The 15,731-nt window shown below is 41.1% G+C and overlaps 1 long non-coding RNA gene across 2 annotated transcripts; it reads right to left on the bottom strand.

The window, feature by feature from the left end:
* Positions 1–1,203: 1,203 nt before the first annotated feature.
* On the bottom strand, positions 1,204–13,709 carry LOC124903816 (uncharacterized). Of its 2 annotated transcripts, XR_007065338.1 has the most exons (3): positions 9,212–13,709; positions 2,189–2,295; positions 1,204–1,977 (listed from the first exon to the last, which is right to left on the bottom strand). It is a non-coding gene; the product is annotated as an uncharacterized LOC124903816 (long non-coding RNA). The 2 variants fall into 2 exon arrangements; XR_007065337.1 differs by having other exon boundaries at positions 1,204–2,295.
* Between the last annotated feature and the right edge of the window lie 2,022 nt (positions 13,710–15,731).

Here is a 15,731-nt window from a genome sequence, read left to right as displayed (position 1 = left end):
AGTGCAGTGGTAGTCACTGAGTGTTCAGCCATGCTGGGTCATCAAAATAAAAGGAGATCGTCTTCCCATTCCTATCAATGGCCTCATCTCTACCAGATATATAACTGGAAAAACAATGCATTTGCTTAAACATCCACAGTGAGCCACACTTGTTCGGTGTTGTGGGGAAATGATGCAGAAACATCCTTGTTTATTAAGGATCCAATATTGATAGGCTGAGGCATATTTTTCCTCCCAAGTCTGCACATGGTCATGCATTAAATATTAATGAGCATCTTCTCTCTATCAGGCTTTGGGGGATATGTTCACCTCTTGGGAGGTGAACATGATAGATAAGATCCTTTCTCTCATGTAGCATTCTCTCCATTCTTTTTTTTTTTTTTTTGATAGTGACTAGCTCTGTCACCTAGGCTAGAGTGCAGTGGTGCAAACATGACTCACTGCAGCCTTGACCTCATGGACTCAAGTGATCCTCAAGTGATCCTCTTGCCTCCACAACATCCAGCTAACTTTTAAAAAATTTTTTGAAGAGAAGGTTTTGCCATGTTGCCTCAGCCTCCTGAAGTGGTGGGATTACAGGTGTGAGCCACTGCACCTGGCCATGTTTTCTTTCCATTCTTATGGAAGGCAGTATTCAGCAAAACAGTTAATCAATTGAGAATATATTAGGTTGTTATAGGAACCATGAAAAAATAAAATAGAGTGTGTAAAGAAGGCTTGATGGCCAGGAAGCTTTTACAGGGAAGTGACATTGGAACTGAGACCAAATACTTAAAGAAGGCAGTTCTTTGAAGAGTTGATGGGAAAGTATTCCAAGAAGTGGGAATGGCAAGGGGAAAGGACTTAAGATGTAACCTCAGAATGATTAAGGAGGAGCATGGTACAAGAGGATGTCAGAAACATAGCCAGGAAAGAGAGCTATGCTTAAGTATTAGGATTTTATTCTTTGCAAAGGAAAAGCCCATTGAAGCTTTAAAGCAAGGCCCTAAGAGTTAACATAATTTTTTTAAGGTACCTTAAAAATTTTGCTGAATGAAGAATTCATTGAAGTGAGTCAGGAATGTATGATTTTGGACAACTGACACAATGCCTGAGGCATAGTTTCTTCATATGGAAATTGGAGACAATGATCATATCTACCTTAGCAGATTATATAATGAATTATTTTCCTAGGGCTCCTGTAATAAGGTACCACAAACTGGGTAACTTAAGCAACAGAGATTTATTGCCTCACAATTCTAGAGGTGAGAAGTCCAGATCAAGAAGCTGGCAGGGCTAGGCTGCCTGAAAAGGTGCTAAGGAAGGAACTGTTCCAGTCCTCTTTCTCTCCTTCCAGTAGTTCCTTGGCTTGTGACAGCACAGTGTCAATTCTCATATGGCATCCTCCCCGTGTGCCTCTCTCTATGTCCAAATCTCCCTTTTATTTAAGGACAGAGTCACAGTGGATTAGAACATCCCCATAACATGAAGATTGCATGAAATTATATACATAAATAACTCAACAACATAGCTTCCAAATAGAAAACACTCAGCCTTTGTCATCTCATCATTATTTGTTTACACCTTTGTATTATTGGTATAGCTCTAGTCTTTTGAAAAGTGCAGTTACTCATCTTTGTGTTTTCCACTCCTTTATAGCTAAGTGTAAGGTGCTTTTGCAAAATCCAGTACTGCATATTTGAGAAATGCTTTTTATTCCTACACATACTGCATATACTGTTACACAATTCGATTTTGTAGGTCTAATGAAGTTGGTCTTTCTATGAGTTCCTATGGCTAAAAATAGTCACAATTGTGTACTCCAGTAAATTGTTAGAATGAAGGAAAATAGTTTGAGTGAAATTATCAATCTGGTTTTTCTGACTTCAGCTGTGTGTCATGTTTGGTTAGTCAGAGAAACATCTAATGTGAGGCCCCTGGAGGACAGCTGATAAGTAAGCATACCAAGTAGAATGGCTACTGGAAAAAGTGTGCCAGCTAGAGAGAGAGAGAAAAGAGAGAGTTAATTTACCATTTGCTCAAGTAAGGAATGATCCACAAATTCAACAAAATCTAAGTAGTCTTAAAGGACATGTCATTGACAGATTTATCTTCTAGTCTCCCACTTTGTCTAATAGTGCTTCAAAACAAAGCAATTTACTGAACCCAGTGGTCTCATTATTCTGGAGGTTTATAAGGTTAAAAATACCTGGAGTTTTGGGAGCAGCAATAGCACTGAAGTGGGATATTAGTAGTGATGCGTGTGTTTACAGCACCTGTGAACACACAGAGACTGAAGCTTGAAGGCTGATGACCCTGAGTTAGGGGAAAACATAAAACTTTTTATTAGATTTTTTTAATGTCGAGAAGAAAATTATTTATCTCCATATTTCCTGAATATTATCCTGTTACAATTATGTCAATGATTCTCACCCCAGTTATATATTAAAATTACCTGGAGATATATAAAAACTATCAATGTTCTATTCTTCTACAGATTAAATCATCATCACTGAGGGTGGCCCTCCAGCAACCAGGTTTGAGAACCACTTTAGACCAGAATTTTTCTCTGTGCCATTCAGTAATGGCAATGATAACTGTAGGATATGCAAATTGCAGAAAGACAATGGCAAATGATTTAACTTATCCCCAAACAGCTGAACTATCTTAAGCCTCATGGCTACTTTAGAGTGACCAAATCCATGTAGATGCCAGAAGTTGTGTCATACACCTATTTCAAGGGACACATAGAATTTACCTATATATACCTACCTCAAGGGTCATGTCAGTTTACTATTCCCCTAAACAACAGCTTAATAGTATAAACTGCTGAACTGCTGTCTGCCTAATATTTATTGTGGCTATACTTCTTCTTTTCTGTATTAAAGGCCACTGCTTTCCCAGCTTGCTCTTTGTTCTCCATCATCTGTTGTGGGTCACTTGTGCTTTCTGATTTTAACACCCATGTTGCTGAAGTCATTTCTCCAATTCATGATCCATGAAACTACTTCAGCAGTGAAAATGGCACCCCTCAGGTTCAAGTCAACACTTTTATATTTCCCTCTAGGTCAAGATCCAAGCTATGGAAGAAATCAGGATATGTCAATTTTCTAGAGCAGCCAAGTTTTCTAAAAGTCTACCTAGCCATGTAGTTATGTAGCCTCACTCTCACTTAAACAAAGAAAATTAAAAAGCACACCAGAAAAGACTTTTCTTGTTAAAAACACATGTTTATTGTAGAAAATATAGTAAGGAAAAAGAAGAAAATATAAGGCAACTAGAATTTCTCTAGTTAGAGATAACTATTATTTATTTGAGTGTGTGTATATATCTATATATATATTGACATTCAGCTCTTATGTACTAGATACACACATCTACTGTTTCATAAGCTTTTTTCACAGAATAGATTATAATCAGTTATGTTTGTTATCACCACAACATTTTCTTCTTGAAGACCTTCTGGAATGAGGCATTTGCTTTTCTATCTAGAGACCCTATCCTTTCAAAAGGTCCTTTATCTGTGGAAAGAGCTATTCTGGCCACAGTTACTGCCAAGAAACAAGGTGTTAGAAAAGGCCTAAAGTTAAGTGCAGAACTGCTGTGTTTTGATGAATATTCCGTTGTTTTGAGAGGAGGTAGAAGCATTCTCAGCTTCAGGATATTTGCTCACTACTCATTAGTCTCTCTGAGAAGTAGCAAACTTCAAAGGTTAAATATGAAGAGATGAATTGTGTAATGCCTAGATGTCAGTAGCGGAGAAGGTATCTGAGCAAATTCAGAATTTTATCCCTGTCTCCATGGGCCTAGTGTGAAGAACAGTCATTTGTGTAAGTGGGTCTTTGTGTATATGGTAGTGAATCAGGTCACTGAGTCAGAAACTTAGAGCTGTAAGGAAAGTGAGGTGCTCTCCAGTCCAGTGTTCTGGAATTTCTTCTGCAGTGGCCCCCAACAGCAGGTGGCAGCCTCGTCCATGATTCTATTCTTAAGTGACATGGTATTACTCTTTGTATTTGCAATCCATTTCACTGATGGATAGTTCTAGAGATCTGAAATATTGAGATTTAGCTCAGTGTTGTTTATATGAAGATAAATTCCGCTTTCCAACAACTCTCTTGTATGTGTCTAATGTCTGCCGCATGGAATGTCACAGATTATGCTTCATACTTGTCTTCCTGAGTCTTCTTTATCCAGAACACCCTGAGTTTTTGAATGGTTGACATGCCAGCTGGCTTTCTGCAGATGTACTTCTCGCGTGTAAATTTCCTTCTCTGTGAGGTATTCATATTGAACATGACCTCCAAGTGTGTTTGGGTCTGTGCAGAAGACAATAGGACTGTGATTTCTGATGATTAAAACCTGGATTGTATGTTACTGTGATCAGACCCTGAGACTGTGTTAGCAAGTTTTATAGCATCTGAGTCGCTCTGTTGGAGGAAAGTGCATGTGATGGGCATTTGCTTGCTTCCCCACCAGATTCTCTACCTTCACCCTTCCTGCAAGATTCCCTAGGAAGCTGACTTCTGCTGAATGCAACACTCAGGTTCTCTGCTTCCTAGATTCTAGTTGAGTTTGGTCCATGGGAGGCCTTGGCAGAAATTTTGAGAGTAAGAGCAAATAATTACTTAACCATTAGAAAAAAATAACATGAATGTGTCCTTCTATCCATGACCTCAGTTCCTGTTGGGGAGCCTCGGTGCCAATCCCTCGGTGCATCACCATTTCTAATTAGTTCCTGTTTTAGTCTGCTTTTGCGTGTGTGTGTATGTGTGTGTGTGTGTGTGTGTGTGTTGTTATAAAGGAATACCAGAGGCTGAATAATTTTAAAGAAGAGAGGTTTATTTGGCTCACAGTTCTGAAGGTGTGCAAGAAGCATGGTGCCACCATTTGCTTCTGGTGAGGGCGTTAGGCTGTTTCCACTCATGGCAGAAGGGGAAGGGAAGCTGGCATGTGCAGAGATCACGTGGCGAGAGAGAGGGGTTTGTGCCAGGCTCTTGTTAACAACCAGCTCTTGTGGGAATTAAGAGAGCTAGAACTAGGTAGGCATGGTGGCTCACACCTGTAATCCCAGCACTTTGGGAGGCCGAGGCAGGTGTATCACCTGAGGTCAGGAGTTTGAGACCAGCCTGGCCAACATGGTGAAACCCCGTCTCTACTAAAAATACCAAAAATTAGCTGGGCATAGTGGTGGGCACCTGTAATCCTAGCTACTCTGGAGGCTGACACAGGAGAATGGGTTGAACCCGTGAGGTGGATGTTGCAGTGAGCCAAGATCGCACCACTACATTCCAACCTGGGCAGCAAGAGTGAAACTACATCTCAAAAAGAAAAAAAAGAGCGAGCAAGAACTCACTTGGATGGCACCAAGACATTCGTGAGAGGTCCACACTCAGGACCAAAACACCTCCCATTAGGCCCCACCTCCAACAATGGGGATCACATTTCAACATGAGTTTGGAGTGGTCAAATATCCAAACCCTAGCAGTTCCCTTAACCCTGGAAAGAGACCCTTCATTAAACTCTTTCTGCTTAATCCTTTGAGAGTGCAACAATTTCCTGCTAGGACCCTGACAGATAGAGGGACCATACAGATCACTAAAATGCTGAGGAATTTTTCAAATGAACTGCACCCAACAGACCTCCCTGATTCTGAATATATCAAACTTTTATTTTTTATTTTATTTTATTTTACTTTTTGAGACGGAATCTCGCTCTGTCGCCCAGGCTGGAGTGCAGTGGTGCGATCTCGGCTCCCTGCAACCTCCACCTCCTGGGTTCAAGCGATTCTCCTGCCTTAGCCTCCCGAGTAGCTGGGACTACAGGCATCCACCAGCAGGCCCGGCTAATTTTTTATTTTTAGTAGAGATGGGGTTTCACCATGTTGACCGGGCTGGTCTTCAACTCCTGACTTCATGATCTGCCCACCTTGGCTTCCCTAAGTGCTTGGATTACAGGCGTGAGCCGCTGCACCCAGCCAAACTTTAAAAAAAAACCCAAATAGTACTTTGAACTTCACCCGCAGGGAGTTATTCAAATTGGTTGTCAGCCAGTTATTTCAGGTTGTTGAGATCATCTGGCTCTTGATTTTATTAATCATCTTAGCCTTCCCTTTCAACAATTTGCCGACTTTGTGCAAATTTTATTAATATGTGATCTCTGTCTTTATCCATGGAGAGGCAGTAGAGTATCATAAGGAAAAATAGACTTTGGAGTAGGCAGAAATTAGGTTTGAATTACTAGCCACGAGGCTTTGGGAACATTACTTAAACTCTATAAGCTTCAATTTCTTTATCTATAAGGTAGGTATAAAACCTGAAAGTTTTGGCATGAGTTTAGTAAAACTGTCTGTGAAGCCCTTGTGGACTGCTTGGTCCATGTAGGCATTTGATAAACGGTGGCTTTATATAGAGGAGGGAAATGCAAGCTATCTCAAAAAGAAATCAGGGAAATAAGAATGCCATCTGAAATCTGTCATATGAGAATGAAAGGAGCATAGACAGGTTTTGAGTGTGGGGTGAGGAGTAGGGGAGGGGAGGAGATAAGTGAACTGCCCCTCAGACTTCCAGGGAGGAGAAAAATGATGTCACTGGGAACTGCAGTCATTTGAAAAGATAGCAGTCAAGCATCTCTTTCAGAGCCCTGTTCATCTTTCAGTGGCTTTGCTTCTCCAGATGCTTTTGCTCCTTCAATTATCTCTGCCTTCTCCCACCTCCTCTCCAACCATCTCTTCCCTTCCTTAATTCACAATTTTTCTCCCTCTTTTCAAGGCATAGTGCTTTGATTTATAAATTAGTTCTATGTTTCTGTTTTCTAGTTTATTAGTTTCTGCTTTCTTATTTATTTATTTTGAGATGGAGTGTCACTCTGTTGCCCCAGCTGGAGTGCAGTGGCATGATCTTGGCTCACTGCAACCTCTGCCTCTCAGGTTCAAGAGATTCTCCTGCCTCAGCCTCCCAAGTAGCTCGAATTACAGGAGTGCACAACCAAGCCTGGCTAGTTTTTGTATTTGTAGGAGAGACAAGATTTCACCATGTTGGCCAGGCTGGTCTGGAACTCCTGACCTCAGGTGATCTGCCTGCCTCAGCCTCCCAAAGTGCTGGGATTACAGATGTGAGTCACCGTGGCTAGCCTGCTTTCATATTTATTAATACATTATTTCCACTTTCCTAAGGATAGTTGTTGTTCAACCTTTACTAGCTTTTTTGTTGTTCATACTTAATACATTTATTTTTATTGTGCTATAGCTATTTCCCACATGTGATTTTTTTTTTTTTTTTGAGATAGGATCTTGCTCTGTTGCTGAGGCTGGAGTGCAGTGATATGATCATGGCTTGCTGAAGCCCTGAACTCCTGAGGTTGGGTGATTCTCCCACCTTAGCCTCCCAAGTAGATGGGATTACAGGAAGTACCACTATACCTGGCTATTTAAAATTTTTTTTGGCGTGTGTGGAGATGGAGTCTCCCTATGTTGTCCAGGCTGGTTGCGAACTCCTGGTCTCAAGTGATCCTGCCACCTTGGCATCTCAAAATGCTGGGATTACACATGTGTAATATTTTTATTGTCACTATTTTCCACATATTCTGGAAATTTTATTTGGATTTCTTTTTTTTTTTTTGACAGAGTCTTGCTGTGTCACCTAGGCTGGAGTGCAGTGGTGCAATCTCAGCTCACTGCAACCTCCACCTTCTGGGTTCAAGGAATTCTCCTGCCTCAGCCTCCTAAGTAGCTGGGATTACAGGCATGAGCCACCAGGCCCAGCTAATTTTTGTATTTTTAGTAGAGACAGGGTGTTACCATGTTGACGAGGCTGGTCTTGAACTGCTGACCTCAAGTGACCTGCCCACCTTGGCCTCCCAAAGTACTGGAATTACAGGCATGAGCCACTGTACCCGGCCTGGATTTCTTTTTGACATAGAATTATTTAAGAGAAAGCTTTTAAATTTCCATGCTGTAATTTCTAGTTTTGTTGTGTCATAATCAGAGAATATAATCTGTAGCATTTCTACATTCTCTACTTTGCTTAGATGTTTTTAGGGTGGGGTGTGTAATATGTACTGAATTTTGTAAACATTTTATGGACATACAAATTTCAATGTTTACTTTTTCAGGCTATAGGCTTTGCTACATAATTTTTGTGTATTTTGTGGTCCTCATATAGATTTTTTAATTATCTTTTTGCTGTGATAGAGATTAGAAGGGTAAATTAATGTCTCATTTACCATCATTTTTCTTTCTGTATCTCTTTTCATTTCCTGATGCTTTGGTTTTATGAAATCTTTATGTATAAAAATTGTGCCATATCTTTATGCACAGTGTTTTGGATTTTACCCTTCATAATGAGCTTTTTTCTCTCCTTTGAATTTGACCTGGCCTGGTGTTAACAGCCCAGGTGTAAAATTCCAGTGAGAAAGAAGTCTGATGAGGAGTCAGTAGGATCTTTGTGTTGCTGAGAACTGCTCAGTAACACGGACAGCTCCCTGAACTCCAGGAAACATCCTGATTTAGTGTTTTGAGTATTGTGAAGCACAGTTAGAGCAGAAACATGGAGAATCACCTTAAATGGCAAATTGGCTTCTGGTCTTGCATAAGACTTCATTGAGGCCTAATGGGCTATGCAGGTCTACTGTCCAAAGTACAGAGGTTATTCCTAGTGTCTTTAATATTACTGTCCCTTTAGGCAAGATTATCCTTATGATAAGGGAGAGTGAATTAAGCTATTTTGGCTGAGGCATATTTTTATAAATTCATCCAATTAGCTTCCCTTGTTGTAGTTTTGGCTCACCAAACATTGTTCTCATTATAATTTAGCATCCCATATAATTTCATCTGCAGGGAGAGTCTGTACTAGGCATGGCGATGCTTACATGTCAGCCTGTGTGACTGCAAGAGTCTCAGTACAATTTGATAACATGGCACTCAGATTCTAGACATTATTCTCTGTGTGCTTAGTGAGTGTGATGACATAACCTTCAGAAAGATTCATCCTTTCTCACATATTGATAAATCAACTTTTACATCTACAAAGTTGAGAGCCAGAAATTAAAACCTTATTAATTCACTAAGGCATCCCTATGACGGCAGTCTTCCAACTAGCTCCATTCTGGGGCACTCTGACATCATTATACACTTTCCAATGAAAGCAGGGAGTGTATGTGATTAAAGGGAGAGCCCTGTGGCACTCCTGAAAAATCTCCCCTCCCAGTTCACATTGACTTATTAACCAACACTCACGATCATGTGAAACTCTAGAACTGGATCTGGGTGCCTGGCAGGATGACATGGTGTGAGGCTCAAGCAGCACTGTGGGAATTCAAGCATCTGCTTATTTCTGAGAGAAAAAGTGTAAAGCAAAATAATATCTTTTAACAAACGTTTGTATTTGACTAAAGAGGAAGCAAGCACTTAATTTATGAATTTGCTAATTGCTCTTCTGAGCTGAGAATATCTGTGTTGGATATTAGTCATTATCCATATTTGGCACAGAATAATCCCGAGGGTTAAATGACATTGTTCCTACAGTGGGCACCTGAAGACTGGCTGTAAAAGCAATCCTGGCCAGGGGCGGTGGCTCACGCCTGTAATCCCAGCACTTTGGGAGGCCAACGTGGGTGGATCATGAGGTCAGGAGTTTGAGACCAGCCTGGCCAACATAGTGAAACCTCATCTCTACTAAAAATACAAAAAAATTAGCTAGGCACGGTGGCAGACACCTGTAATCCCAGCTACTTGGGCGGCTGAGGCAGGAGAATCACTTGAACCTGGGAGGCAGAAGTTGCAGTGAGTCGAGATTGCACCAATGCACTCCAGCCCAGGTGACAGTGTGAGACTCTGTCCAAAAAAAAAAAAAAAAAAAAAAAAGAAAGAAAAGAAAAAAAAAAGAAGAAAAAAAGAGAAAGAAAAAAAAGGAAAAATAAATAAATAAATAAATAAATAAATAAATAAATAAATAAAAGCAACCCTAACACTACTGAGGCTATTGACAGTGGCACTTTGCTCTTCTGTTAGGACCTTGGGAAAATTTTTTCCCCCTGAATACAGTATAATAAACTTGGTTCTTATTTCTCTTTCTCTCCCCCTCCTTTTTTCTTCCCTCCCCACTACCACATGCACACACACAAATAGACAGATTTGTTTATATTTGACTTTCTAAAAACCTGTTACTAGAAAGGCACATTAATACATTTCTCCTGTGCTGATAGTAATCAGGCAACTCTGGTTTCTATTGGAGGCAATTTCTTACGTATTAAATGCCAGAAAAAGGGCATCCCTCCGTTTTTGTAGAGAGCCTTTCTTTATGAAGACTAATGACCACATTAGTTAGTCAGTCAGTCAATAATACTTACCAAATGTCAGTAGAGCTGAAGTGAACACCAACAGAAAATCACATTTTACAAATGCAATTTACTTGGTATCCTAACATGCCATGTCATAATAATTATTGAGGCTTTTCTTCTCTGCTGCATTGGTCTAATGAAAGTGGCTAGAAAAATATGGGTGCCCATGTAGCCTCCTGGAAGCACCTGTATGACTTTTCTAGAAGCGAGGTTCCTGGATAAAGATGAATTTTTAAAAACTGGAATGAATGAGCAGCAATAGCAGAAGGAGAAAAGTGAGTGAGGGCTCTCCAAGAAGCCATCTGGCAGGCTAAGGGTTCTGAGGGAAGCTCTGGTTTCAGAAGCAACTCAGGAATTACTTCTGTCATATTAGGATGGGATGGTAGGAGATTGGGAACTCTAGGGACTAGAAGTCATTTAATTTCCTGTCTACAATCCTTAGAAGAGGTTTTGAGACTTGCAACCTAGGACCTTAACTAGTCATCTTCCCTCAGCATTGATAGAATTCTTTATTATACATGTTAATATCAGATTAGTCAGGATGGGCTGGATTATGCTGTGTTAACAGCCATTCTCTAAATCTCTGTGGCTCAACAGGGAGCTCTGCCTGTCATGGTCACTTGGGACCCAGGCTTTGGGTATAAGGCTACAGCACATGGAAAATGTATGAATGTCTCTCAGATTGTTAAAGCTTCAGCTGGAAGTGACATGTCATTCTGCTCACAGTTCATTGGCTAAATGAGTCACGTGGCTCTCTCTAACTTCAAGGATGGTATGAAATTGCAATCCTACCATGTCTCTAGAAGGAGAACCAGCCCTAATCACAATGCTACATGTTTATAGCTTGCCTCATAGAGTTTACTGTATTCTCCTGGTATAATTTTCTTACATGCTCAACTGGAGAGGAAGCTCTTAAATAGAAAAAAAATCACAGTAAATTTCCTTTAAAAGATCTATTTTACAACTCTGGCATGATGGAGCACAATGGAGTCCTTAGTAATGGACTCCATCTCTTCCATCAGATAAAATCTTGAGAACTGAAGTTAAAATTTGAATAATGAAACCAAAGGAAAAACAAATTAAATGAATTTTAAGACACTTGAGATAAGAACAACTGTGGCATCAGCACAATTCAATTTAATAATGTATTAATTATTTTGCAGAAAAGTGAAAACAAATTGATAGCCAAATCAATGCAGCATTAAGCCACCATTTGGTCTAATTTCTTGCTGAATTGACAAAACAAAACACTAGTTTAGTTATATAAACATGGCTGATGTTTATACAAACAACAGAATTTGCCGGTAGCATTATCACTGGAAAATAAGATGTGTACTTAATTCTTGTATGTTCTGAGCCCATCTAGGAAGAACATAAAAGACGAAGAACAAAGCAATCACAGGATGTTATCATGAAAATATCACCTTTGGCTGGAGTAAAGTTTTGGCTAAATGTGGCACTAGTATTTATTACAGCTCACCTTTTTATAATGAAGGGCTATGGACTGAACATTCTTATTATTTCCCATTTTCTTACCACTCTATCCCAACACACATGCACATGCATGCACACACGCACACACACTGGCACCCACACCCATGCATGTGGGACACACAGAGCAGCCTAGGCAATTTCAATTGTTGGCAGCTTTGCTTTTATTAGGTATTAGTCTACCGACTTGCTTTCTCTTTAGAGAGACTAAGTGAAACCAAACTCATTTCCACCCAGTTAGCCTGCTGGAACCTGTAACAGTTACTGTAATGTTAAAAGCAGTAAAACAAAATAAAAACCAGTCAGTTCACTTACTCCCGAAGTCCGCAGTTTGGTGTTCAGCTTTAAAACATATGCTCTGGGTGTCCTGTGGTGGCTACCAGAGGCTTTGGTGAGTCATTGTCAACCCAGTGGCTAGAGAAGTGCTGGAATGCCCCTCTTAAATACAGAGCCAGTTTGTCCTTCAGAATGGCTGCTTGAACGAATTTATTGCTCAACTCGAAAGGCCGTTTTTTATAACCCACTGCAGTTGTACTTCATGTGTTTCTCCACCTATCCTGTAAAGCGTATTGTGAAATTAATTTTGTAGATTTCCTCACACTGCAGTGACTAGGGAAATCACCCATTCGTTATTATCTAATGAGGAGAAAGTGGAAACATCTAGAAGCACTGCTCCCATCCTCCTCCCCAGCCCACACAGACACCTACCTCAGGCCCTCCCTGTCCCAGGTGAGCAGAGGGCCCCACCTTTGGAGGTTGCCTCCCTTCCACCTTCACCAATCCTATGACCAGATTATCCCCAAGGAAATGTCAATCTCCAGGCAGCAAGGGAATCATATAAAGATAAGATCATTGAGAGATTTTTTTCCTCCGTGATTGGCAGTTTATATTTTCTTGGGTCTACAAATCTGACAGTATTTATTAAATTTTCTAGTTTGATACTGACCTCTGTCTGATGCTGGGCTGTCACCATGCCCAAGACTGAGGGGACCCACAGTCTAGCTAGAAGGCATGGATCAATTCCAACTGCCCTACCCCTAGCCTGTGGGCAGGAGAAAGCTCTCAGGCTCTGGCAGAGGAGTCCCAGGGGCAGGATGCATGATCTTCCACTGTGCCTCCCAGCCATGCTGAGCAGCAAAGCAGACCATGAGCACGTCTCCCTTAAATTCATTTGCTTGATTTGTCCTTGAGTGTCCTTGGATGGGTTTGTTCCCTCCTTGTGCAGTATGTCTTGGTCATCCTGATTCCTGGGCTTGGCTCCCAGGTTGATTCTTTCCCTGACACAAAACAGGCACTATGGGCAAAGACACCTGCAGCCTTGGAGAGACCAGTGATGCTGGATGTTTCCTGTTAGCACTCAGGAAAGCTCAGAGCCTTTGATGAGCATCTTTTGATCCATTAGTTAAAACCACGCTGGGTTCTTTATAGTGGTTAGTTAGCTCTGGGCTATGGGATTGTGGAAGACATTTATTTCTTCTTTGGATTCACCTGGATTTTCTGCAACGGACATGTATCGATAAAATACATGGTGCTTTTAAGAAATTGCCCCATCATCATGTTGCTGTTGTTGTTATTGATATTGTTGTTTCTGATGGATAGAGATCTAGGCCTGACACTCCAAGCAGTGTGAACAGCATTTACCTTGATAAGCATTCTTACATCTTAACTCTCGGGAATTTTAAATAGAAGTGTTCCGTGTGATTAAATTAACAGGTTTAGAGATGAGTGTCCTGGTTATTTCCTTTGTTCTCCTCCTGGTAGCTGCCTGCACTCACAGCATGTTGGGAATGGTGATTATAAATGTAACCATGCTCTCTTCTTGTAAGTGGAGAGCCCAGGTACCTCTTATCCAGCATGTGACCCTCTTTCTACCTCAGGATAGTCATACTCTTAGGCTTCCTGGATTTATTCAGGGCCAAGGAGTGGTCAAGGTCCTTTTTGTTTTGCCCTATTCCCTTTGGAAAACATTTAGTTTATGCCCATGTTACAGATTGCAAAATACAGGCACATATTCTCACTAATGTGGTCTGCATGTCCCTTTGCAAGGATCACGAGGTCAGGAGATGGAGACCATCCTGGCTAACACAGTGAAACACAGTCTCTACTAAAAAATAAAAAATAAAAAAAAATTAGCCAGGCGTGGTGGTAGGTGCCTGTAGTCTCAGCTACTTGGGAGCCTGAGGCAGGAGAATGACGTGAACCCAGGAGGCAGAGCTTGCAGTGAGCCTAGATTGCACCACTGCACTCCAGCCTGGGCAACAGAGCGAGATTCTGACTCAAAAAAAAAAAAAAAAAAAAAAAGAAAAGAAAAGAAAAGGAGCCTCTTTGCCTCTTTACCCTAATCTGGGCAAGCCTTGCAACCTGATTTGCCAAAAAAATATGAAGGAAGCAATGTGATGTGATTTTCCAGGCTAGAATGTAAGAAGCCTTGGAGCTTCTGCTTTTACTGTCTTCAGATGCTGCCTGAAACCACTGTAAGAAGCTCTAACCTACTGGAGGATAAGGGGTGAGCCCAAGAGCATCAAGGCTCCCATCAACAGCCAGTCCTGTGAGTGAGGCCATCTTGGACCTGCCAGCTCAGTAAACCCTTTTGCTGAACACAGCCCAAGGAAGGAACCCTTGCAAAATGAAATCATGTGGTCAGTTTGCGGGGTGGTTATTACACAGCAGTAGATGATTGAAAAGGCCCAGTGTCTTCCTGGGGACTGAAACACCCACCTCCTGTTCATGTTGATACACGGTGAGCAGCATATGGATGTGGGAGTGGTGTTGGTTGCAGGTGAGGTAGAGAAGCAGTGAACAGAGCACGAAGACCTGATGTTCCAGGGTCGGGAGTTTAGACTTGATCCTAACAGCGGCCATAGGCGGATTTAGGCAAGAGAGTAACGTGGTCAGATTTTCATTTTAGAAAGTTACTCTGACATCCATGTGGAAAATGAACTTGAAGGTCACAAGGCTGATGGAGCCAGGAAGACCATTTGGGAGGTGATTGTAGTAATCTACTTACGAGTTCATTACGAGCTGGGGAATGGGGAGGTGTTAGAGAAGAGAAAATGGATTTGAAGAGCTGAGGGATGTTAAAAAGGCAAAACTGGGCCAGGGATGGCGGCTCACACCTGTAATCCCAGCACTTTGGGAGGCCAAGGTGGGCAGATCATGAGGTCAAGAGATTGAGATCATCTGGGCCAATATGGTGAAATCCCCTCTCTACTAAAAATACAAAAATTATCTGGATGTAGTGGCACACACCTATAATCCCAGCTACTTGGGAAGCTGAGGCAGGAGAATCGCTTGAACACAGGCAGCGGAGGTTGCAGTGAGCTGAGATTGCACCACCGCACACCAGCCTGGTGACAGAGCAAGACTCCGTCTAAAAACAAAAACAAAAACAAAAAAACCGGAAAATTGTTGGGACTTGTAATTAATTGGGTGAGGAAACTGAGTGGCAAATGGTCTCAGCTCTACACATGGAGAGCCCTGGGGACATAGGGAGAGCATATTTGGAAGGAAAGATGATAATTTTAGTTCTTAAAATTTTGTTTGTGGAGGAGACATTCAGACAGAGAATTCTGTTGGGCAGTTTTATGTAGAGAACTACATCTAAAGAGGTCAGAAGTGAACTTCAATAAAATTGAGGTGACCAATGATCATCAGTTTTAAAGAGGACATATTTTCTTTTTCTGTTAAAGGGAACACACCTATGAGTCAGAAAGCCAGACTTTTATTTTTTCTCGCCAAAAGTTATTGTACAACCTACAGAAGAGAGTGTAAACACTGGTCTTTAAGATGAATTGTAAAGCTCTAAAGAGAATAAGAAAAATTGCGTTTCATGATTTATGATGGATAGCATTTTAGAGTTGATTTCATAAGAGAATTCGTTAAGCCAATAGACAACCATGGCATTTTAACTGTAGTGTTTAAGTATC

This window comes from Homo sapiens, chromosome 1, assembly GCF_000001405.40.
Source record: "Homo sapiens chromosome 1, GRCh38.p14 Primary Assembly".
Lineage (NCBI taxonomy): Eukaryota > Metazoa > Chordata > Mammalia > Primates > Hominidae > Homo > Homo sapiens.
Note: the sequence above shows the minus strand (reverse complement) of the source record. Positions and strands in the feature narration are given on the sequence as shown.